General features: G+C 34.3%; 1 protein-coding gene across 11 annotated transcripts in view; it reads left to right on the top strand.

Moving 5' to 3' along the window:
* Positions 1-24,936, top strand: part of KCNT2 (potassium sodium-activated channel subfamily T member 2) — a 382,662-nt gene that overhangs the window by 323,927 nt on the left and 33,799 nt on the right. For 6 of the 11 annotated variants that reach the window (NM_001287820.3, XM_006711295.4, XM_006711294.4 and 3 more), the window contains 3 exons: positions 2,158-2,241; positions 3,526-3,654; positions 11,026-11,046. In NM_001287820.3, the coding sequence (NP_001274749.1) occupies positions 2,158-2,241; positions 3,526-3,654; positions 11,026-11,046 (234 nt within the window). Of the gene's footprint in view, positions 1-2,157; positions 2,242-3,525; positions 3,655-11,025; positions 11,047-24,889; positions 24,928-24,936 lie in introns of those variants that run through there. The other 5 variants (NR_146057.2, NM_001287819.3, NM_198503.5 and 2 more) reach the window with 3 other exon arrangements.

Here is a 24,936-nt window from a genome sequence, read left to right as displayed (position 1 = left end):
ACCAGTAGTTTTAAGATTTTTTTAGCCACAGTATCCTCTGTTTAAATAAAATCTTGTAAGGAAATCTCATGTATAAGTTAAATAGAAGAAAAACTGTTCTAAAAACTGTTCTATAGAAATGGAAAGCAGTAGTTTTTTCTTTCTCTTTGTTTTTGCCTCACGTTTATGTTATAAATAGAGATACAGGAAATTGCATGATTTTCTGAAACTTCGGAAGAAAGAGTGAACTAGAACTATATATATATATATATATATATATATATATTTTTTTTTTTTTTTTTTTAAGACAGAGTCTTGCTCTGTCGCCCAGTCTAGAGGGCGGTGGTGCGATCTCGGCTCACTGCAACCTCTAGCTCCCAGGTTCATGCAATTCTCCTGCCTCAGGCTCCCAAATAGCTGAGATTACAGGTGTGCACCATTACATCTGGCTAATTTTTGTATTTTTAATACAGACGAGGTTTCACCATGTTGGTCAGGCTGGTCTCGAACCCCTGACCTCAGGTGATCGGCCAACCTTGGCCTCCCAAAGTGCTGAGATTACAGGTGTGAGCCACTGTGCTCAGCCTAAAGTCTTAAATTTTGACACAGTAAACATATTTTGCATTTCAATACATACCTGCATTTGTGTGTGTGTAGATGTGTATGTATATATAACTGAAACAAAATATTAACAACACTTACCCTTTCTGCTCATAATTTGCTGTACTATTTTCTATCTTACTGAATATACTCTATTTCATTTTAAAAAATTGCTGGCATTAATTCATAACTATTTTGTGGCTTTTTTAAAAAACACTTAAGTAGAGGACTTCTGAATTAGTAAAATCCAGAGCATAATTTCTCTTCAGTGGGACTTTTGATCTACTGTCAATGGTTCTTGAATGATTGGGAATTATTTTCAGTCACATTTTCTTTAATTGCTTACTAACAAAATGGTCTGTGTCTGTAAAGACTATTCTAGCTTTCAACCTTTCCAATAATATAAGAGATGCACTGTCACCCCAGGGAAATGCAATGATTCTATTTATCTATTTATTTATTTATTTCATTTTATTTATTTTTTGTTTGTTTGTTGTTTTGAGATGGAGTCTTGCTCTGTTGCCCAGGCTGGAGTGCAGTGGCGTGGTCTTGGCTCACTGCAAGCTCTGCCCCCCGGGGTTCACGCCATTCTCAGCCTCCCAAGTAGCTGGGACTACAGGTGCCCGCCACCACGCCCAGCTAATTTTCTGTATTTTTAGTGGAGACAAGGTTTCACCGTGTTAGCCATGCTGGTCTCGATCTCCTGGGACCTCCCAGGAGTGCTGGGCCTCCCAGAGTGCTGGGATTACAGGCATGAGCCACCTCCTTAATTTTTTAAAGGTTCAATTTTAGGCCTGGTGTGTTGGCTTATGCCAGTAATCCCAGTATTTTGGGGTGGCCAAGGCAGGCGATCACTTGAGGCCAGGAGTTCTAGACCAGCATGGCCAACATGGGAAACCCTGTCTTTACTAAAAATACAAAAATTAGCCAGGCGCCATGGCGCATGCCTGTCATCTCAGCTACTTGGGAGGCTGAGGAAGGAGAATCACTTGAACCCGGGAGGCGGAGGCTGCAGTGAGCCGCTATCATGCCACTGCACTCCAGCCTGGATGACACAGCAAGACTCTGTCTCAAATAAATAAATAAATAAATAGAAGGCCCTATTTTATCATGAAGTGTTGTGGAAAAAGAATATGCAATAATAAATGATAAATATAGTTTAGAAATTTACTTCACTAGCTTAGAGCTTAATACTAAAAAAAGACTGAAATTTTTCATTGAAAATTTGTTTTAATTGTTTCAAGTTTTTATGATAGTCATCATTTCATTTGGGGTTTTTGCTTTAAAAATTCTAAAAATTTTTTATCATGCCTAATAACACACATAAAATGTAAGCATAGTTAGATATTTCTAGACAAAAATTATTTCCTGTGTTTCCTTATGAACAGCTTAACTGTACATGTTTATCTAGGATACTAACAAGATAGATTAAATTTACTTTTGTATGGAGGGTTAAAAATGTGATATGAGAAATAATCTTTTAGAAGTCAGATGTTCACACTTTTAGCTGTTCTACACATCTCATACACATTATATATAAATATACATTTATATATTGTTTGTTTGTTTATATTGCAGTCATTTGTGAAGGATTATATGATTTCTATCACGAGACTTCTGTTGGGACTGGACACTACACCAGGATCTGGGTTTCTTTGTTCTGTAAGTTAATAATCTCTAGAATAAAAGATAGTTGTGATAGAAGGTTCTGAAATCTATCTACCGTGTACTTTGCTAATTCTTCTATGTCATGTGTTATTTTTTGTATTGTGAATCCAGATGCATTTGAGTTTTTAAAATTCCTTTAAAAATTTCAAGGAAAACATATTATTTTTACTTAATAATCATAATAAATAGCCATTTTGTGTAAAATGCTGAATGAATTTGGCCAGGCGTGGAGGCTCACACCTGTAATCCTAGCACTTTGGGAGGCTGAGGCGGGTGGATCATGAGGTCAGGAGTTAGAGACCATCCTGGCTAACACAGTGAAACCCCGTCTCCACTAAAAATACAAAAAATTAGCTGGGTGTGGTGGCGGGCCCCTGTAGTCCCAGCTACTCGGGAGGCTGAGAATGGCGTGAACCCAGGGGGCAGAGCTTGCAGTGAGCCGAGATCGCGCCACTGCACTCCAGCCTGGGCAACAGAGTAAGACTCCATCTCAAAAAAAAAAAAAATGTTGAATGAATTTTTTTTTGTTAACTGGCAATTTGAAACTGCCGTAGGATACTATACTGTCCACAAAAACGGTGATCATGCTTTTTAACTCCTTTGTTTTATAGATAAGTATACTTTGTCCAAGTATGCTGAATGAAATGATTTGGTAACAGTTCAGATTTACAAGAAGCAAAGGGGCACTACAATTTTTGTTTCCTGTCTGGTATCACGATGCTTATTCTACTATTCATCTTTCTCAATATAGGCATTATTGGAACATTGGGTGGAACAAGTCAGTATGGTGCTAGAGTGTCTTTTGCACTTCGCATTTGGTAACATCAGCATACCCTGTACATTAAATACCAGTGTCAGCCTCCAGTTATTGCAGCATGCAAAATAGTTTCCATATGCTTTACATTTCCCAGTCAATTACCAGTGCTCTATTGCCTACTGATAACGAACTAATATAATGTCATACTGCCCTAAATTGAGTACTCGGATTTCTTAAGTTTGGTGATGCATAATAAATAAATTTAATACATGGATAAGCATGAAATATTACTTGGAGATTTCCAAATACTAATAATTTCTCCCTTTAAGAAGTGAAAAATGCTTCAGCCAGGGATGTCGGTTGAGTCTGCAGTGAGCCATGGTTGCACCGTTGCACTGTAGCCTGGGTGACAGAGTGAGACCCTGCCCCCCACAAAAATAAGCAAATAAAGAAATGTAAAGTTACCACTAGGTTTTTATTTCTGACACATTTAATATGTAAATAATTTGTGTGTGTTATAGATGAAAATCACTGCAGATGACTTATGGATCAGAACTTATGCCAGACTTTATCAGAAGTTGTGTTCTTCTACTGGAGATGTTCCCATTGGAATCTACAGGACTGAGTCTCAGAAACTTACTACATCTGAGGTTTGGAAATAACAAAATATTCTTGTTTTGATGTTTAATCTGATGAGTGCAATCATTCATAAGCTTATAAACTGATTTATAAAAAATGCAAGAGAAAGTGAAAAAGAATGCTACCTGAATACGTAGTGTTAAATCTCAGAACCAAATTTTTTTTCAACTATTTGTTTTACTAAACTATGTCAGTCTTCCAAAAAATATTGTTGGCTAAGGGGCTGTTCTAAGTTTATGGATGTTGGGCTTTAGATGACTTTTGTAGATCTAGGATTAGCTGTTTTGGAAGATTATCAGGAAGCAAATTAATTACAAATAACCTTGAGGTTCTGACACATAAGAAAAGTTCTCAGGGCAAGCAACCTAGATTTCTAATGTATACCCCTACTGCATATATTAGCATTTTGAAGGAAGCAAAGCAAAGATAATTTAGTAAGTGTTAAAATTCACATTTCTCAATCTCTAGATTGGTGACCACTCTAAAGCCAAAAGAAAACTCTGAGTATAAGAGTAGTGTCAGATCTTCCCAAAGTAAACCTCAGTAAATTTAACAGCAAACTTGATCTTGTTAGTATGGAAGGAGAATCTCTGGTAAGTTCATGCACCCGAAACATATTTGCATTTTGATTTGATCACTTCATGTGGTTCATGTTGTTCTAAGTAATTTTTATAGCCTTAGTGTAATATCACCTTTTAGGTCAGACTCTTTTTTGAAATAAAGATTTTGGATGAATTCATCATTCTATCAATATCTATAAAATTATTTAATGTAAATTATGGTTTGTATTCTTGAATTTTTTTTTCTTCAGACACTTCAAAGTTATTACAAATTAAAAAGAAATTTTGGTCAGCCATTTTTTTTGGTCTGATACAAAATTACCTCAACTTTGAGGCTCAGATCAGACACATACATTTCAGTAATTTCTATGATCATTAAACCACCTAGTGACAAAATTAATAAATCCCTATATAGAAAAGAACTTTATAGAAAGCATAAAGATAACGGGGTAGATTTTTGTTGTTGCTGATCAAATTTATAGTTTGACACTTATATAAGTTACCAGCAGAAAATAGGTTAGTTTTTCTGAGTTGCTTCTTGGTGGTGTCACTTTAGCTTCAGGAGTGTTAAATGGAGCTATGTGGCCTGGCACAGTGGCTCACACCTGTAATCCCAGCACTTTGGGAGGCCTAGGCAGGTAGATCACAAGGTCAGGAGTTCAAGATCAGACTGGCCAATATGGTGAAACCCCATTTCTACTAAAAAAAAAAAATACAAAAATTAGTCAGGTGTGGTGGTGCACACCTGTAGTCCCAGCTACTCGGGAGGCTGAGGCAGAAGAATTGCTTGAACCTGGGAGTCGGAGGTTGCAGTGAGCCAAGATCACGCCACTGCACTCCAGCCTGGGTGACAGAGCGAGACTCTGTCTCAAATAATAATAAAAAAAAATTTTTTAATGGAGTTTTGCTGCCGTCTCTCCTCCTGAGTCTGAGTTTTTCTTTTCCTGTGGTGGTTGTGGTTCACACTGCAAAGAATGAGACAAATCAAGAGAAAATCAGGAATGACTGACTGGAAAAACAAACCAGACAGTTAAATATGTAAGATGTTTGTCTAGATATGCCTAAAATTTTAAGAATACTGGATTCAAAACAATATTATTTAATTAAAGGTTAAGAGAAGATCAAGTGCTTTCATACCCAAGTAATTAAGCACGATCATGATCTGTTCAGGCTGCTATAACAAAATACCATGGACTGGGTGGCTTGTAAACAACAGAAATTTAATTCTCAAAGTTTTGAAGGCTGAGAAGTCCAAGATCAGGGCACCAGTTGATTACGTGTCTGTTGCCGACCTGCTTCCTGGTTCTCAGATAGGCATCTTCTCACTGAATTCTCATCTGGTGGAAAGGGAAGGGGATCTCTCTGAGTCCTCTTTTATAAGGCTCTTTCATGATCTAATCACCTTCCCAAAGCCCCACCTTCAAATATCATCAACATTGAGGATTAGGTTTTCACATATGCATTGTGGGGTGATGGAGAACAAATATTTAGTGTATACAAATCATTTCTTATTTGACCATAGCAAGTACAAAGAAGACTTTCATACAGTAGAGTGTTGCCCTGATTTTTTGTCTCACATATAGGCTTTGGGAATTGTAATGCAGTAAATTCTGGCCTTGGTCAACTCCATGTCCATGTCAGTATTATGTATTATAATAATGTTCATATATTATTAAAATACTTCTTTTGTGCTGTTGACATTGCAGATAGGAAAAGGATACTGAGTATTTGAATTGTCATCAAGGAGTATTTAACTACATTTAGTCAACTCTGCCCATAGCAAATAAAGATTACCTCATTAAAATGCTTGTAAATTCTCAAATATCTAGATTATATTAAAAATATATATCATTGGGATGATAAAAGGACACTGTTTTAAATAAAAATAATGCCTCTTGTTTTTCTCTACTGAATTCAATCCATCTTCTGACACACATATTGTTATTAAATTAAATTCTGCCTATTGTAGAAAGAATTGAGGCAACTAACAAAGATAAACAGTAGAAACATCAAGCACTTTTTACAACAAAATATTTTGTCGTAAATGTTTTGAGAAGTTAGTGTTACTGTACTAGCATAAACTGAGTGCTACAGTTGAGCCTGACTTCTATTTTTAATTTCCTGGTAAATAAGGTAAAAAATAGCAATATGTTGATCTATATAGTAATTATGGTCTGATACATGAAAGGATAAAATTCATCTTGCAAAAGATTTGTTTTTCTTGGTCATTTTTTAAAAGAATGAGTATATTATTTGCTTCCTGAATTTGGAGATTTTAGATACCATGATGAGTAATATCTATCTTTGCTCATAGCTTTGCAAGATGAAAAAAATACCATTAAAGTGCATATCTCTTACATTAATCTTTAACTAAAAAAGTAGGAAGGGATATCAATTAAATATTAACCCAATAAAGACATTGAGGTTTTTTTTTGTATTTAAAGAATAAAACATTATTTTTTTAAGATTATATAAAAACGCAGAATAAGAGCTTAGTGGATCTAACAAAATAAAATTGACTCTGACAGTTCACCATGTCTCTCAAATATGAAATGATTCAAAAACAAAGTTTTGAAATTTAAATAACCATTAGTGTTCAAAATGGCCCTGTTCTCTTACTTGAACTTAAAGAAAGACACTAGATTTCAGGAATTAGAAACTTCTTTCAGTAATTACTATTGGAGAGTCTATATTTTTGCTTAGGTTGCTGTCAGATCTCAATTTTCCTCAACAGTTCAGAAAGCTTTGCTGCTGTCAGTCTCTCCATATAAACACATATTAAAGGTTTAGTCTATGGAAGTGGTCTGTGGCCTCTGGACCCCGGAAAGAGTTGAGGGCTAGGAGTATCACACTGAATTCTGAACGCTAAGTTAAAAGATACATTCTGTACGCTTTACACTTCAGCAGATTGAAAGACTCTTTCTTAGGGAAACTGACCAACCCACGTGGAAGGCCCTAAAAATACAGATGTGGGAGATTCTTTAAGTTTGTAATCCAGCCAGATCACCATGAAATGCAGCAATAAAAAGAATCTCACCCAGAGCTTTCAGTTAACTTATTAGTCATTTACTCTAAGAAGAAGACAACTAAAAATTCCCAACAGAAGTGAAAAAGCTTATAATATGAAGTTCAGGAAGTTATTGATAAACTAGAGCAAGAATTCAAAACATGGACAATGAGTAAAGAAAAGATAAAATTAGAGAATTAGTCTAGGAGTTCTAAGATTTGAATCACAAGATTTCAAGAAAGAGGAAATGCATACAAATTGAAGAAATATTACTGTAATAATTCTAGAAAAATCAGTAGTGTGTTAGTTTCCAAATGGTAAGGGTTACCATGTGTCCACAACAGTGAATTAAACAGTGAATCACATCACCAATTTTCAAAACACTGAAGGAAAGGAGGGGATCCTAAAATCTTTCAGAGAGATGAGCAGGAGACGTGCGATAGGTCACATACAAGGTACTATTGGGGTTTTCTCAACAGCAATACCACAAGCCAGAATAAAATGAAACAATGCTCTCAAGATTTTGAAAGAGTATTATTTTCAAATTAGATTTTTTTATCCAGTCAAAGCAAAGTTGTGTAAGAGTAGAATAAATCAGATATCAAATATATATATTCTCCAAAAATATCCTTCCCAAGTCTGCTGTCTAAGGAAACTACTCCCACCAGAATGAATGAGTAAAATGAAGGAGAAATAATGATCTGCAGGAAACCAGACGTTTTATGGAAACCAGCGACAAGAATGAAGTAAAGAGGATCAATAGGATGGTGATGTAAAGACCCCCAAGCATAAAGGGAGACCTAGAGCAGGTCAGAAGGCTTCAGAGAGAATTCTTTAGGAAGATTAATCCTGATGCATCTCAATGTTTTAAATTAATATTAGAAAGTTGCCAAAGAGTTCAGGATGAATTATTGCATATATCTAATTACATATCAAAGCAATTAATACAATAAAGCAATTACTGACCTTAGGAATATAACATCGTTATCAACAATGAAAGAATGTGTGCAGGAAATGAATACTAACCACATACCTATATATCTTATCTGTAAAGTATACTTAGTCATGGTATGTCCTGAATTTTGATCCAATAAAAATTATGTTGAACTATTTTGAGATGATGAGGGCAAAGGTAGTGGAATATATGGAAAAGACTGTTAATGACTCTTCTTGCAGAGTGAGAAGTCAATAGATAAAAGCAGAAACTGAAAAAAACATGAAATAATAATCAGGCATATTCTATAGAAACAGAGAGAGAAAGAACAACATAACCAACTAAAAGAGGCAAAAGTAGATGGGTCTTATGAGAGGGAATTAAGAGATATTATGCTATAAGCTGCTATTTTTCTAAACCAGCTATAACATTTTCTGACTGTTCAAACCATGCATGTATAACTAGTAAAAAGCACTAACAGATGTAAAGGCATAATGTGGTGATATCAGACCCATTCATTAATTATTTCTTTAGTATATACACATTTAAATGCTAAATTCTACTCTGTACTATGAAGAACATTTATTAAATATCAGCTTTTTACATAAGGATAAACTAATATAAAGACTTTAGGCTTTGCTTTCTGGTTTATTCATGGAAAAAAAAATACTTTTAAAGGCAGATGCAGGTTTTCATGCCACATCATTTTCCAGCCTGTCATCTTTCCATGTTCTGAGTAGAGAAAACAAAAGTTATCATTTTTTATATCTCTGATATAACTGCTTTGGCTGTGGGAGTGGGAAAGCACTGCCTAATGTTTAGCTGACATTTTTAAAAAGACAAACGTTGGTAAAGAACATTGATAATCAAAACTATTAACATTTATAGAAGGCCTGGAATACTATCTCATTTTTTTCTGGTGTGATGTAGATTAGTGAAAGGAGAAGTCACACAAACACAGCAGAAAGTAAAGTGAGGGTGCACACAGTGGCTGGAAAATCAGTCTATGGAAAGCAGAGTAGAGATGGAACTGCCCATTCATAATTAGTCATATGCCCTCCATGCCAGGAGAACTTCTGCCACTATCTATGTGTTTTCAGTTCAGGGAATTTTGACAAACATCAGATACTCCTGGTTCGAACAACATATATAGGAAGGACAGGGACACATATTACTCTTAGTGGACAAAAAGGATCAGTATTTTCCTTCTCAATCCATAATATAAAAGTATAAAATGTCAAAAGGCTCCCTGAAGTCATTTAGTGGCAAAATGTCACCTTAATTTTCATGAGATTATTTATAATGTTTACTTATTCCATTGAGAGTGAATATTTATACTTTTCATTGCAGAAATATTAATTTTTGAAAATGAAGGCTACCTAGGTTCCACTGGGGGTATTAGCTACTATATAGCATATAACATAGTATTAATTTTCCAAAATCTGAACAATTCTGAATTATTAAGCATATTTGTCCTTTGGTTAAGAAAAGGTAGACCTATGTTTGCCTCCAGTTTTCCAGTGTGCAGAAAATCTCATTTGTTTGAAGTATACTATAACCAGTGAACATTTTACTAGGAACCAGAAAAACATCTTTTAAAGCATATTAATATACCAACATAATTTATAGTGTATGCAGTACATTTGTGGAATGTGTTACCCTGAATTTTGGCCACTTTTATAGTGAATAAATCTTGTAGCTTCCAAAAATGTGCATAGTGGAATAAACATTGTCCCATGTGCCAATCATTAACACTTTACTATTACAATGGGAAGTAGCTTTTAAAATATATTATTAAGATACAAATTTACCTATTATAAAATCTCATTAAGATTATTTTAATAAGGTTTAGGATTGACTGGTTGTAAAATTCTACCTGTCCATTCTTTGCTATTATTCTCTCAAACAACATTTATTCCATTGTGTCATGTGTAAGGAATCCTGAAATAGTTTCAAGAAACCCACAATCAAATGTTTATTATGCATTTCTTATATTTTCAGTTATAGATAATACTATTATAATACTTATAATACTAACACTAGAGGAGTTATATTACAAGTTATATTACATCAAATAATATACTTGAAAATGTTACTTCCACCTATTCAAAAATGAATAGACTATTGTTCTTTAAATTTGAAGAATAAGACAGCATGATTTTTATTTATAACCCCTACTTAGCTATGATACATTGATTAAGGAAATCAATTAGTTTAGATTCCATAGCCAATATGAAAGCTCAGAATATTTCTGTCAACTAACTTAATTACATATGTATGTAGGAGAAAAAATCAATCTTACTGTAAGATCTGAAATTAAAAAATAGTACAAATATTAACACCAATAATGATTATAGAATGTCAATAATTATATCAAGTATTCTGTTATGACTATAGTAGCTTTATAAGCTACTACCAATTATTTTATTTTCTTCTACAAGCACCACTTTTTCTATCAAACTTTTATACTTAAAGCATATTAATGTACCAATATCATTTATAGTGTATGGAGTACATTTGTGGAATGTGTTACCCTGGATTATGGCTACTTTTATAGTGAATAAATCTTGTAAATTCCAAAAATGTGCATAGTGGAATAACCATTGTCCCGTCTGCCGATCATTAACACTCTACTATTACAATGGGAAGACAATTTCAGCAAAACAAAAACAATCTAACAAGACTGAATCTTTAAAAATAATAGCTTATTCTTTATCTAATTTTGTTCAAAAGCCATACGAGAAATATGCATGCAATTGGATTTTGTTATGTGGGTATATGTTACATTTTGTCCTTGTTACTGATTGTTGGCATGCATCTATTGTTTAGTCATTGTTTAAACTGTGTTTTGTGTGTTTCTTTTTCCCTCCCGTTGTGTCAGTCTCGAAAAATAGCATCACAAGTAAGTATTTTCTGTTTGTTTCCCTTTCCTCAAATGGTGTAATATATTAATTCAGAGCTATTAAAGAAAAATAATATTAAATATTGAATTTAATACTCAGACATTAAAATGAAATAAATCATTTAAACTTAAATGCATATAAATGTTTTCTTTTCAAATTAATGTACTTATATTTCCCCAGTAAATTTCCTGGAATTTGCCATTGTAAAGATTAAATTCTAAGAAGTATTTGTTTCGATATTTGTGTGCTAATTAAAGTTAATAATGAAAGATATTTCAAGATATTATCATGGTTTTTAAAGTGATTAGAAAACTAGTTTTCTTTTGCTTTTCAACTTTTTAGAGTAGACCTCCTTTACTATGCAGGAGAACCCTTATGTTATTCTTAGTGCATTCTCTAATTAGACATAAAAGGTTATAGATTTCAGACTGATTTATTTCAGAAGATGTTTTACTTAACCATGGTGTATGTAAATATTCTTAATAATATTATAGTGAGACGTCTTAAGATCTCTCTTAGCAAATTTCAAGCATATGATACATTAACTGTAGTTACCATGCTGTACTTTAGGTATCCAGAACTTATTCACTTTATAACAGAAGGTTATCTTTAACCATCATCTTCCCATTTCCCCCATCCTCTGGCCATTGGTAACCACCATCCTACTCTTTTTCCATGAATTTGACTTTTTGAGAGAAGGAGAACAACATGGATGAACCTGGACAAGATTACGCTGAGTGAAATAAACCACATGTTTACAAAAGATGTTTATAGTTTTTTTGGTCTTTTCTACACATCACCTTGGGGCGTTAATCGCTTCCTGTGGTTTCAACAAGTCATCTATGTTGATAGATGGCAAAGCTGGGTTTGTAGCTCTATCTGTTCTAATTCCTTAACATGAAACACAAATACATAAACTTTATCTGGAAGATCCTCTCCATCTTGTTATCTACCAGAATTACAAATATTTATTGGGTAACACTAGGCACCAAATGCATCCAGGTAAGTACTTAAGATACATAAGCAAAAAAAAGGTTTTTCAGAGGGTTGACATAAAAACTTCATGGCCTTTCTTCGATTTAATTAATTTTGGTGGATTTAATATACCAAAACTTTCTTCCCTTCAATATCTTGCATAGTGCAGCCAGATTGATGATCATTTTTCTTTACTCACATGATAAAGAATCCGTAGTGTATATCTGATGCCTACTATTTCAAATAAAAATTTTTATTGCTGGATTTTAAGCTACTCTATCCTCTTGTCCCATTCCTGGACAAGTCACTTATCCAATTATTTTGCCTGACCAATTAGCACTGGGCTTGGAACACAATGATCTGAGTTTAAATCTTGCCCTCTCCTTTTACTAGCTGTGCCTGAACTTTGGCTATATGTAGCAGAGTGAAGATTAAGTAAAAAACATATTCTTATCATTTCACAAGGTAGAAGAAAGGCAGAGATGTGTGGAGTGAGTTGTTCAGTGTTAAAAGCAAGTAATTCTGTGGCAAAGCTCATAGAGTAACGTAGATCTTACTTCATCATTCTTCATTGGTGCATTGTTTTTGGGTGGATGATACCACCTCAGAGAATGTTCATGTCAATTCACTTAAAGTTATAAATAAAATATGTAAAGTAAGTATTCTCGTGATTAAGTACTTTCATATTAGTCAAGCACAGCTGTGTTCACTGACCTTCGATGCATCCTAATTCACAGATAGGCACACACAAACACACACTCGCAGACATAATGAGTCTGAGCTCATCTGTAATTCTGTTTCACTTTCTCTCTAACAAAAACTGTACTCTTAAATCTTTCTCTTACCTTATTTTATAATTTTTTCCTAATATTTTCTAGTTCTACTGATTCTTAATCTCATTCATTCTCAAACCCAGGAAAGCATTTCTTACTTTCATTATTTACCTACTTTAACTTAATAAGAGTTTCACTGGCACACTTACTAACAAGAGGCTATTTAATGCATCCAATTTATTTGACTTAATTTAACTACGTAGTCATGGCTTTCTGTCCACTTAACGTCTTAAACTGCCTAAAGATCATTCTTGTACTTAGCACTGCCACAGAAAGTAACTTAAGCTTTTAATCACAGCTCCCTGTCAAATGGCTGCTAGTCTACAAAATGAAAACTGAAGAGAAAATTATAAAGTTGATTTAAGTTCCCTAGGTCTTCATAAGGAAGTCATGATCTGTAAGCAGTGGTATATTTAGATCCATAGTACTATTTTAGATAGACTATTTACATAAGAATACAAATATTTGTATTTACCAGGTCTTATAGTATTCTTTTCTTTAATTAAAGCATTGCATGTAACATAAAAATTTTCTTTCCACAGGCTTATTTATCCATTGGTTCTCAGATGCTGCAAAGGATAAGGGAATTATGTGTGTGTGCGTGTGTGTTTGTGTGTGTGTGGTTGTGTGTGTGTTTAAAATCTTTTGTGTATGGTTGGGGAGGTGCTGTACTCACATTAGAATCACTGTACTGGCTTTTGAAAGCTTCACAGTTAGGTCCTTTCTTCTGGACTATAATATAGTGAAGGTGATTGAGTGATAGCCCCTCTGGCCTACCTTGTAGTGTGTAGGTTTTACACATACATGCACACACACACACACACACACACCTGCATGTTGAAACCATTGCTTTAGTCTATATATTTCAGTAACTGGCTTACCTTATAGTGTATAGGTTCTACACTTACACGCACACACACATACACACACACTCATATACACACACATGCATGTTGAAACCATTGCTTTAGACTATATATTTTGGTAATTCTGGAAAATTATAAATTGCACTGCTAAGTTAACAGAGCTGGCAATGAAACCGTGATTCTAATGATGCATACAATTTGACTGCCTGTATGCGTACGTTGAATTTGTGTGTTTATACAATGCTTTTCTCTTTGTTGATTTTGTTTGTAAGTCAATTATAGAGTCTAACATGATTCAGCTGTCTAGCAATATTCTTTACAAATATATATAAATATGCATAATATATACAAACCTAAGCATACATACTTAATTTTTTGTGTGTAGAAAGCAAATACGTTTTTATATTTGGTGATGTGATTTCTAGACATTTAGACATAAAATGAACCTTTTGGTTACAGAAACCGTTCTTTAATTTTCTAACAAATGAAAAATTAATTATAATGAAATCAGTCTTGATTTGGGCTAGGCTGATTTAGACCTTGGGCCACTATAATCCCTACCAAATAAATAGTAGATGGGTAAAGACATGTTTTGAGATCCAAAAAAGTAGTTATCAAATTTACATCAATAATAATTTTGGTGCTAATAATATTATTTTTAAAATTTGCATTAACTTTTAAAAGAAAAGCAATTCTATACCTTTAGAAAAGATAAAAAACATCCCACTACTGCACAGTGAAAGAAAACAGAAATAGTCTGATTTCATAAGAAAAACAATTAAAAAATAGTATTAGTGACATAAATGGAGTCATATGATGGAGAAACATGAGAAAATTAAGGCTATTTTATTAAGTATTTAAAATAAATTTCTGAACACCACAACTCAAAAGTTATGAGTACGTTACAAAAGGATTGTAAACCTTAAATATTGAAAATTGTTATTTGGAAAATTTATTTCTCAGGGTCATTGGTAACCTGTGTAGCATACTTGTATGAATGCAAGATGCATGACCTGTATTTGAAACTTCCGCCATAAGCATTGCTAAATAAACTAATAACATTTTCTCAATTCTCCTCTTCTTCAGTGTCTTTATAACAATAGGTATTTTTTATGGCAGGTAGATTACAGGGGAAAAAAAGGCTGTAGTAAGAGCTAGTTGATAATATCCAACACCTCATTTCATTCCAAGAAAAAGACTTCTTCCTTGGCCTCCATGATAGCTAATTTTTGTATATAGTCCCATATTCTTAATTCCTAATTTCTCTTCTGCTTACTAGTCCACAACTGAAAATACTGAGATATAAAACTTGAAATTGGGAGCTTACCTCTAAACTTCTGGACTATAATACACTGAAGGTGATTGAGTGATAGCCCCTCTGGCCTACCTTGTAGTGTGTAGGTTTTACACGTACATGCACACACACACACACACATATACACACACTCGCATGTTGAAACCAGACCATTGGGCCACTATAGTCCATACCAAATAAATAGTATGGAAATCATGCCTACGTTTTTATTATTGTATCCAATGTGCTTTGCACAAGTGCTCAACATATATTTGCTAAAGTCAATCACAGATATCTTTCTTAACATAGAATCATTCTTTCAGATCTGCTCACACTTACATTAATTCCATCTTTACACAATTTTATTTGTACCACTTCTGTCATTAATTTTGGTACCTATCATTTTACCCTTAATTATTATGTAATTGTTTATGATTGTACGCCTTTGATTTCTTCACAGATTATAAGGTGCTAAGTGGATGGGACATGTATTGCATTATTTCTTTATTATTATTATTATTTTTTACCTAGATCTAATGATTGTATACATAAACTGGATATAGTTCTGAGGAGAATTTTTACCACTCCACAGAGGCAGTGTGGAGAATTCACCCAAAATTTGGTTTGGATGTTAAAACTGAGGATGCCACATATGCCCCAAGAGTTTTTGTTGAGTTTCTTTTTTTTTTGTGGGGAGAGCAAGATGGGCTCCTAAGTAGGTCTGAGGAAGCAGATCATTTTTGTTTTGGCCTTTATCATGTTTAGGGCTGGGTTTTGGGTGAGGTTTCTCATGCATAAGGAGCATAAACTTCCTGCTAGGGAAAAAGGAAGAAGTGCCCAGGCTTTCTTATCAACTAGCTCAAATCTGGGGCAGAAGGTTGCATTGGATCTTGAAAGCTGTCAGCAGTCAAACATCAAAACTGGAGTGAGACACTGTTACAGTTCACTCGTGATGTTGGATGGGTGACTGAAATGTGCCTTGTTTCATTTAATAAAATGCTCCGTGAAGCTTGTAGCCTGTGGTTAGTAGGGAGATGAAAGTTATCTTAAATGCCTTGTTCAAAAGCACAGCATTGTGTATTTTGGAAAAGTGAAATTCATGTCTTGGTCACTTTCAATGATGTCTGGAATATAGAAGGTGGTAAGAATTGTTTTGATGAGCCTTGTATTATGGTCTTAAATGTGTAGGTGTATATGTATGTGTAAAGACATGTGTGACCTTGATTATTATTTTGTGTATGTATGAGGCAAGGGATTCCCAGAGTTCTTTACCTTGGAGGGCAACCTTGGATTAGGAATTGTTTCTGCCGTTGGCTGGACCAGATGGCCAAACCACAGGCAGTGACCCAAGAGTCTGTAGAAATGTGCAAGTGGGACCTGTTTTTATCCAGGGTGTCTAGTGCTCAAATGATTCCCTGCTAACCTTTGGGTCCTGTCCTTTGTTAGGTCTGTCATTTTAAGGGATCAAAAGCAGCAGTTCTCCAGTGAGCTTCATCACATTTAACACAATACCACCATCCATGCACTGTTCACTTGATTAATCCCAAGGGGCTCCCTAGGTAGCCAAGGGATTTAGGATAGGAGTGACATGCTCAAGTACCATGGCATATGACAAGGGGCTGAGGATAGGGGAAACTTTTCCTTCCTGCAAGTGACTTATGCCCAAGTTTGGCCCTTTCCTATAGAGTCTTTGGTGGCTATGTCAGACTTGCAGGGTGATGCTTTCATAACCAAAGGCACAGTGGACCACTGAGTGCACAGTCCTGAGCGCAGGGCATCTGATTTCAGTAGAGCTCAGTATGCAACCAGCAGTTGCTGTTCTAATGGTATATAGCATGTAACCAAGGAGGATAGTTTTTGCTACCAGAAGCCCACGAGCACCACTGTGGTTGATGCAGGAGGCAGTAGAAGAGGTGAACAATGTGATTGCCTATTGTAATTGCAATTTGGAGAGATTCTAGAGCCTTCTGTTTTAAGGGGTCTAATTCAGTGTGGGCCAGTTTGCAAGTAGGAGCATAAATGGGCTTAAGTAAAAAGTGATACTTGTTAATGAGGAATATCTTCCATCCGAAACCCCAAAAGGCCTAAAAATGTTAGTTTTGTCTTAACATTGTGGATACTGACAGGTCATTGTTTCTCGAGCGTGTCAGTGATGAAGTAGCCTTTGATCAAATAATGCTCAGAAATTTGACTACACTGGGGAGCCTTGCAGTTTGTATAAGACAATGGTCTATTCTTTCTTGTGAGCTCCTTTTTGAATGTTTATTCATCCTGAATGAGTGTGTCAAAGGAATCTCCTTGGAAGAGCATGGCATCAATGTAATGTCATACCTATTTTCCCACAGAAACTTGGATGCAGTAAAGATCTGCCTGCAGAGGGATTGTTTGTGACAGCAGGACTGTTTAAGTATTCTATGTGTAGTCAGGTAGAGAATTTTGAGTTCTTTTGAAGATAAAGAAAAGCTATAAGCCTTTCCCTGTAACTGTGGGGATCGGGATCTGTGTTGTTACAGAGGCATAGGCAGCAACAGCAGCAGGAGCATTTTTGTGGGTGGCCAAATGAGCTATCTCCTTTTAGGAGTGTAAGAGGCTATCAAAAGAGGCACTTAATAGAACATATTTGTCAAATCCTTATGACTTTATGACTACAAAGTATTTACAAATTGCTGATTGAAAGGAGTCAGTAGTGTCACCAAGTAATGGTGGCCTTAATATGTGGAACCACAGCATTAAGCTTTGGATGATCTACTACCAGCCTCCATTTATTTTTTTCAGGTTTAAGAACAGGCCAAATTTGACTATTAAAAGGAGAAGCAGTGGTGACTATTACCCCTTCTCTAAATAGTTCTTAGGTAAGGGGTTCCTTGTTCCAGTTATTGTAGTCCTTATTAACTACTTATATTGAGAAGACAGAAAATGCATGTGATTCTATATTGTCAAACTACTTGTACATGTCAAAGATTTGATTTGATTTACTTTAATTTGTCATTAATTGGTTCAGAGCATCCATGTCTACTATGGGATATTTTTAGACAATATCTGTTATGACCATGGAGTATTTAGGCCAGAAAGTAATTCTGATGGTTAAGATAAGGTATATTTATTTGCCCTGTATTTTATATGTGATAATCACCTCCATAAGAGTAAGGGGAGGTACCTTTATTTTAGTGCAATTCCCATATTTAGGGTACTTTGTTTAAATTTAGTGGCATCTCCAGTGATAACTATAGTTCAATCCTCAACTTTGATTAAGTTTCTTAACTTTTGCCAATGGGTGCGTCTCAGGAAACATATAAGTTAATTTGGAGCTTATGTTGTAGAGGCACAACACCATTCAGCAAACTTACCTGCCTTTATAAATTCTTCAAGTAATTTAAGAATTTCCAAGTGGGACAAATTATAGACTTCTGTTTATATTTTTGTTTTCTCCTGTGTATCCAGTTTTCTGCTTCTTCCTCCTATATCCAGTTTTGTTTTTGTTGTTGGGGCTGGTGCTGTTTTTTGTTTGTTTGTTGTTTTGTTTTTATTTTCTATCCTGCTCATTTTTACAAGCCTCCTTCAGAGAGTCTCAAGTAAGTATCATCAGGGTTATGGGCCTCCCTGATGGCAATGGTTGCTTCATCAGATTTTAAGTTCCCTAGATTGAAGTTGGGTTTGAATTAACCTCTTGGGTATGCCACAGAGTCCCATGTTTGCTTTTCTCTATAACTGTGGGGATCAGGAACTGTGCTGTTATGGAGGCATAGACAGCAACAGTAGCAGAAGCATTTTTTGGGGTGGACACATGAGCTATCTCCTTTTAGGAGTGTGAACCTCAGCATTCCACATGGTAACTGCTCTTCTTCCATACAAGCAACCACCCAATGGACCTGTATAGTGCACAAAGTAACAGGTATTTTTCCTAGGACACACTGTAGAATGGGGGCTGATGCATGGTTGAGACATACAACCAGTGATCACACAGTAGGAATTATTCCCCTGTGCCTAGTGTCAGCCACATTTCTTACTGGATACCAACCACTTGATTCAATATTAGACACAAAGATAGGTCTGGGCTAAGACACATGACATGGAGCTATTACCAAACTCCCGTTCCTAAATATTACTGATGCTTCCAGGCATTAAGTTCATTTAATTCTAAACAGAAACTTGGAAAGACTCAGCAAATGCAGCATAAATTTGCACAGGTTAAAGTATGCTTGCCAGTGGGCAGAAAAAAACTCAAACAGCATAATTGTCTCGACAATACAACAAATTAACAAGGCAAAACATAAGAAGAGAGACCCCCAGTGGTGGTGGTCATTGCCTAGATACCCCTTGCTGTGCCAGTTGTTAAGACTACCTTTCATAGATGGGATAATACCCAACCACCATCCCAAATCCAGTCCTGTTGAGACTGATGATTGCACACCTGCACTAAGAGGGTATTGAAAGGGCTACAACTCATATAATGAGGCTTTCCATGGAGAGTGAGGCAGGCTTCCAACCAGGTCAAAAAATGGCTTGGGCTGGAAAGAGCAAGGAAAAGAAACTGGCTTGGCTTTCATCACGATTAAGCATTGGGGCTGGGCTGGGCATGGTGGCTCACGCCTGTAATCCCAGCACTTTGAGAGGTTGACATGGGAGGATAGCTTGAGCTCAGGAGTTCTAGGCCAGCCAGGGCAACATGGTGAAACCCCATCTCTACAAAAATACAAAAATTAGCCAGGCGTGATGCTCCATGCCTGTGGTCTTAGCTGCTCGGGAGTCTGAGGCAGGAGGATTGCTTGAGCTGGGAGGTGGAGGTTGCAGTGAGCAGAGATCCTGCCACTGCCCTCCAGCCTAGGCAACAGAGCAAGACCCTGTCTTAAAATAAATAAATAAATAATTTTTAAAATTAAAAAAATATATATATTGGGGCTGGAGTGAGGTCCTACATATAGACTGGGACTTACCAGCTTCCCCATCCATGGGGCAAAAGGGAAAGGAAGAGTGTTGGCACTTGAAAGCAGTCAGCAGTCTAATGTCAAAAATGGAGGCAGACTATTTATGATGAGATATGGTAAATGAATGTCTCCATATCTTGAGCTGATGGAGAAGACTTAAATTTCTAAATAAGTAATGAAAACTCAGGAAGTAATGTATATACCTTCTGCCTGTCATCCTCCCATTTATGAATTACATCACCAGAATTCTAGTATAATAAGACAAACCATTAAAAACAATGAAAAAGTCCCCTCTCAATTTGTTCTTTTTAACTCAGATACATTATTTAAGTTCTAAGAGCAGGCAGTCATCAAGTGGTTAGCAGTTACATGATATTAATATTCAGTGTTATAAAACAGGAACAAAAACATAAGATTTTTCTGTGCTTAAAGCAATAGGAAAAGCATTAAGAAATTGAAGCCTTATAAACCAGCTGTTTCCAAATGACAGCTTTGAAAGATCAAGAAAAAAAAATCACCAGCAGGATGAGAAAGAATGCCAAGATAATAAATTAGCTAGATTCCAAATTCCACAGAGACCAAAGTGTAAGTAGAAAGTAGAGATTGAATTAAACACACACACACATATACACACAATGCAGTAAAACCAAGTCATCAAAGAGGTGTAAATGTGCAAGTTAATGTGTACATTTAAAAATGTATCATAAAAAGGAGATGGAAATAACCAGAAATATAACAGTGACTATATTTGATTTATCTTTTAGAGATAATTAACCAAAATGTAGATGAGGTTGGATGGAGAAAGAGGTGCTTCGTTTGATAGTAGTGAAAAACCACTAGCATGAATTTGTGGGTTATTTAATATTATCTCTTAATAGATAATTTGATATTTTTTTCACTTGGACATATACATAAATTTTGCCTTTTGAAGTTATAGAATTGGAATGCTGAGGTAATAGAGGTTCTACCTACTCCGAGTATGTTTTATATTCATAGAATTATATATTGGTGGTTTGCTGCACCCATCAACCAGCAATCTACATTAGGTATTTCTCCTAATGCTATCCCTCCCCTAGCCCCCCACCCTATGACAGGGCGCAGTGTGTGATGTTCCCCTCCCTGTGTCCATGTGTTCTCATTGTTTAACTCCCGATTATGAGTGAGAATATGCAGTGTTTGGTTTTCTGTTCTTATGTTAGTTTGCTGAAAATGATGGTTTCCAGCTTCATCCATGTCCCTGCAAAGGACATAAACTCATCCTTTTTTATGGCTGCATAGTATTCCATGGTATATATCTGCCACATTTTCAAAACCATCATGGCATATGTATACCTATGTAACAAACCTGCACGTTCTGCACACGTACCCCAGAGCTTAAAGTAAAATTAAAAAAAAAAAGAATTATATATAGGTGGAACTGAAAGATACCTAAGAGACCACACAGATGAGATAACTTATTTTTATGTATGAAAAAGGAAATCAAAGATTAAAATAATTTTTGTCATTCCATCAAATTATTGGCTTTAAAAATGTTATTATTTGAACATGAATTTCTTTAGTAAATATTTGGCTTTAAATTTGCTTTAGAGTTTAAATACTAGGTTCTTATAAATTTTGTGTTTTCTTGTCATGAAGACAGGGTATTTTCCTGTCTAAAATTACATTATTTTCTAAGAATCTCAATGATTTGCTTAAGGTCATAAAATATTTTCCTGAGGTGGTTGAAAACACAGCTTATTTATTTGATTCCAAATTCAACATTTTTTAGACTATAAGATTGTTTATTCTCTAATTGTCTTTTTGATTCCAAAATTAATTTGGAAATGCATCAATATACAGTGTAACTAGCTATTTTCTTTCTCTGCATAGATCACAGACCACGTGTACATATTAAATTGAGCTTTGGAAACTGGTGAAACATCTTTCTTTAGATTTTTTTTTAAATAAAAATAAGCTTTCAGTGAACTCAGAGTCACTGAAATATATAAGCCTTGGTGCTTATATATTTAAATTTAGATGATCCCTCAAGTATTCTTATAATTTAACCTTTACTTAATGGAAAATATCAGATAAGGATTCTTTGAGAAAATGTTAAACTAGCACATTTTAGTGATTTCATTTTCTTTTCTTCTTTAACAACAATTCTAACTTCAATCATAAATTAAATAGCACAGTTTAGAGTACTATGAAGTCTGTAAAACTATCCTTAAGGGAGTCATGAGTCCAGATTACAAACACTCATTTTCAAACTACTAAGTGAATTGATTTATTTAAAATACTACATTGTTCTATAGATTGCTCAATAACCTATGACGTGAATAATTGTTCAGTAAAAAATCAAGAAGAGGTTGAATTGAGTCACTTTGATGTGTGTGTGAAGAGTAGGGAAAAGAGTGATGTATTTAGTGTATCTGACACTTTCTACTTTCCTTAAAACTATAATATAATCAGCTATTTTAGGCATAAGAAATATTTTCTTATTTTTTGTGTTTTTAATTATTATTCATGTGAAGAAATACTTTTAGCCTTAAAAATCATATTAAGTATGATAAATATTTAGGAAGTAATATAACTTTTAGAAAATGATAATATTTTAAATTTGTATGGAAATTGTTGGAGTAGTCATCAATTTTTCACTTCTTTATTGAACTGTATATATTACCAGAAGCATTTCATTTACATATGCAAATGTATTTTCGTCATTCTCACAAACATTAGTATTAAATTTTGATTTTTCAAGTTAACGATTATATTATGTGCCTTACAATAGAAAAGTCAGAGTTCTGTAGTTATTCCATGGAAAAGTACAAAATAATTCATAGAAACTGTGCAGAATGAAAAATATTCACTTTCACTTTAAAATTTGTTTTTGTTTAAATTTACTAAACTTTAACCAAGAAATCTTTACAGCCAAGAATATGTTTTTAGCATCTTGATTTATTCAGAAGTCTAGTGATAGAGAAAAGTGCACCCAAAATATGAATGATTCCCTCTCTTTTTCATCCCCATTTTTCACTTTTTACATACCCATCATAATTATTTCGTATTATTTTCTTCCTTTTACTGTCCTTTTATACAAGGTCATAAGCCATAAAATATGAATATTTATTGGGTGTTTTCTAAGACAGACATCTTACTATGCCTTTTCATGCATTATCTCTTTTATGTCTTCAGAAAAATTTGATAGGCAAAGTAGTAATGTAATAATAGAATGACAATTTTTTAGAGAGGGAAATGGAAATAAACTTAAAGAGCTTAGATTACATAACCAAGAAGGCAAACTGGTAAGTGGTAGAACTGTTATTTAAACTCAGGTCTGATGCTAAAACCTTGCTTTTAACCACTCTATCATTGTGACTCTGAGTTCAGGAGAAGGTCCTACTATAAAGGCACTGTTGTGTATCCAGCACTATACTATTTCCACTAGATTATGATGGCATGTTTAAAACACAGGAGAGTTACAACTAGAAGAAGAAATGACATCAGGAAAGTATATTTATAAATGGACCTCCTATTAAAACACACAAACACACACACACAAACACACACACACATTCAATATCCAACAAATAGAGTAATAAACGTTTGTTGCTAGTGTTATTGATATTGTGGATCATTTTACAAGGATATATTAATGATATTATTGTTATATGTGAAAGTTTACAGTTGACAGATGTTTTCTTTATATATTAATGTGATATGAATTTTCACATTTCTGTCAAATAGAAGATGGCTGTTATTATCCTCACTTTTTTATAGGGGCTATGCAGTTTTATTGTGGAGAAAGAGTTAGGAAACATTCAAAACAGAACTCAAATTTGTGTATATTATACATATAAACTTAATGTACTTTTTATTATGTCCTGTTGGAAGAAAGAGAAAAGAATGCAAATTCCAAACATGTAAAGAGCAATTGATGTGTTTTGGGTTTGGATTTCCTAAAATTAACCCTCAAATTCTTCTCATTTCTTTTTACTGTAGTTAAAGTGAGGTTAGTAAAGAAATGTTACTTATTTTATGGAATTATTGAAAAAAAAGATGAGATTCTTACAGATTTTTATGTACAAACTATGACAGTTTCTCTTGGGGGTATTCAAAATAATGCTGAATAGGCTATTAAATATTGCTTAACTAATGTATACATAGGTTTCAGTTCATCTTGTAGATGTATACTTTACATGATGCCTGATACACATGGCTAAGAAAAGCATTCACAAAATCAGTGTTTCATCTCCTACTTGGAAAAGAAGTGAATCCCTATGCTCCCATTTAAAATTTTTTATTAATTTATGGTTTTGTGACTTGAATTATAAGTGATATTAGATGAACATAGTATCTTTAATGTTTGGTTTGGCAAGATTATTATTTCCACATATTTGTAGGAAATCAAACTATCACTCATAGGGACTTATGACTAGAAAGAGGAACAAAAAGATCACTTCAAATAAATTTAAGATTATGATTAAACTCTGCAAGCAAGTCTCTAAATATGACTGAAATATCATATTTTCATTGTTGCTACAAAGTACAACTATATTACTAAATACATATTGATATTATTGTTGGTGGTACGTATTACTTAAGAGTTTATGTGTTTTACTTCCACAGAAGTGAATTTTTAGTACATTATCAAGTAGGTGAGAATAGAGTTAAAATTTTATAAAAATGTTCATTATTGTTAAACCATGGTATTAAAAACTTTTAATGCTTAGAAATTAAGTTCTGGTAGATAAAATATGGTTTCTAAAATCATTTAATCTCAATTATTTTATAATGAAGAGATGAAGATTTTTTGGATATCCCTCTGATATAGTACTGTTTTGAAACAGATGTGGATTAGTATTTGAATTTTTGGATGAAATTAAGTGTGAGAGAATTTCATAGCTTGCCACTGGGAATTGTATATAAAGCATTGACTGAGCCTGTATAATTTATATTCACTTTTAAAGGATTTTATTGGATCTACTTCCTGACGTTACTTAAATTGGTAATTTAA

Source organism: Homo sapiens, chromosome 1, assembly GCF_000001405.40.
Source record: "Homo sapiens chromosome 1, GRCh38.p14 Primary Assembly".
In the NCBI taxonomy this organism is placed as follows: domain Eukaryota; kingdom Metazoa; phylum Chordata; class Mammalia; order Primates; family Hominidae; genus Homo; species Homo sapiens.
The sequence above is the reverse complement of the archived record's forward strand: the minus strand, read 5'-3'. Positions and strand labels throughout refer to the sequence as shown.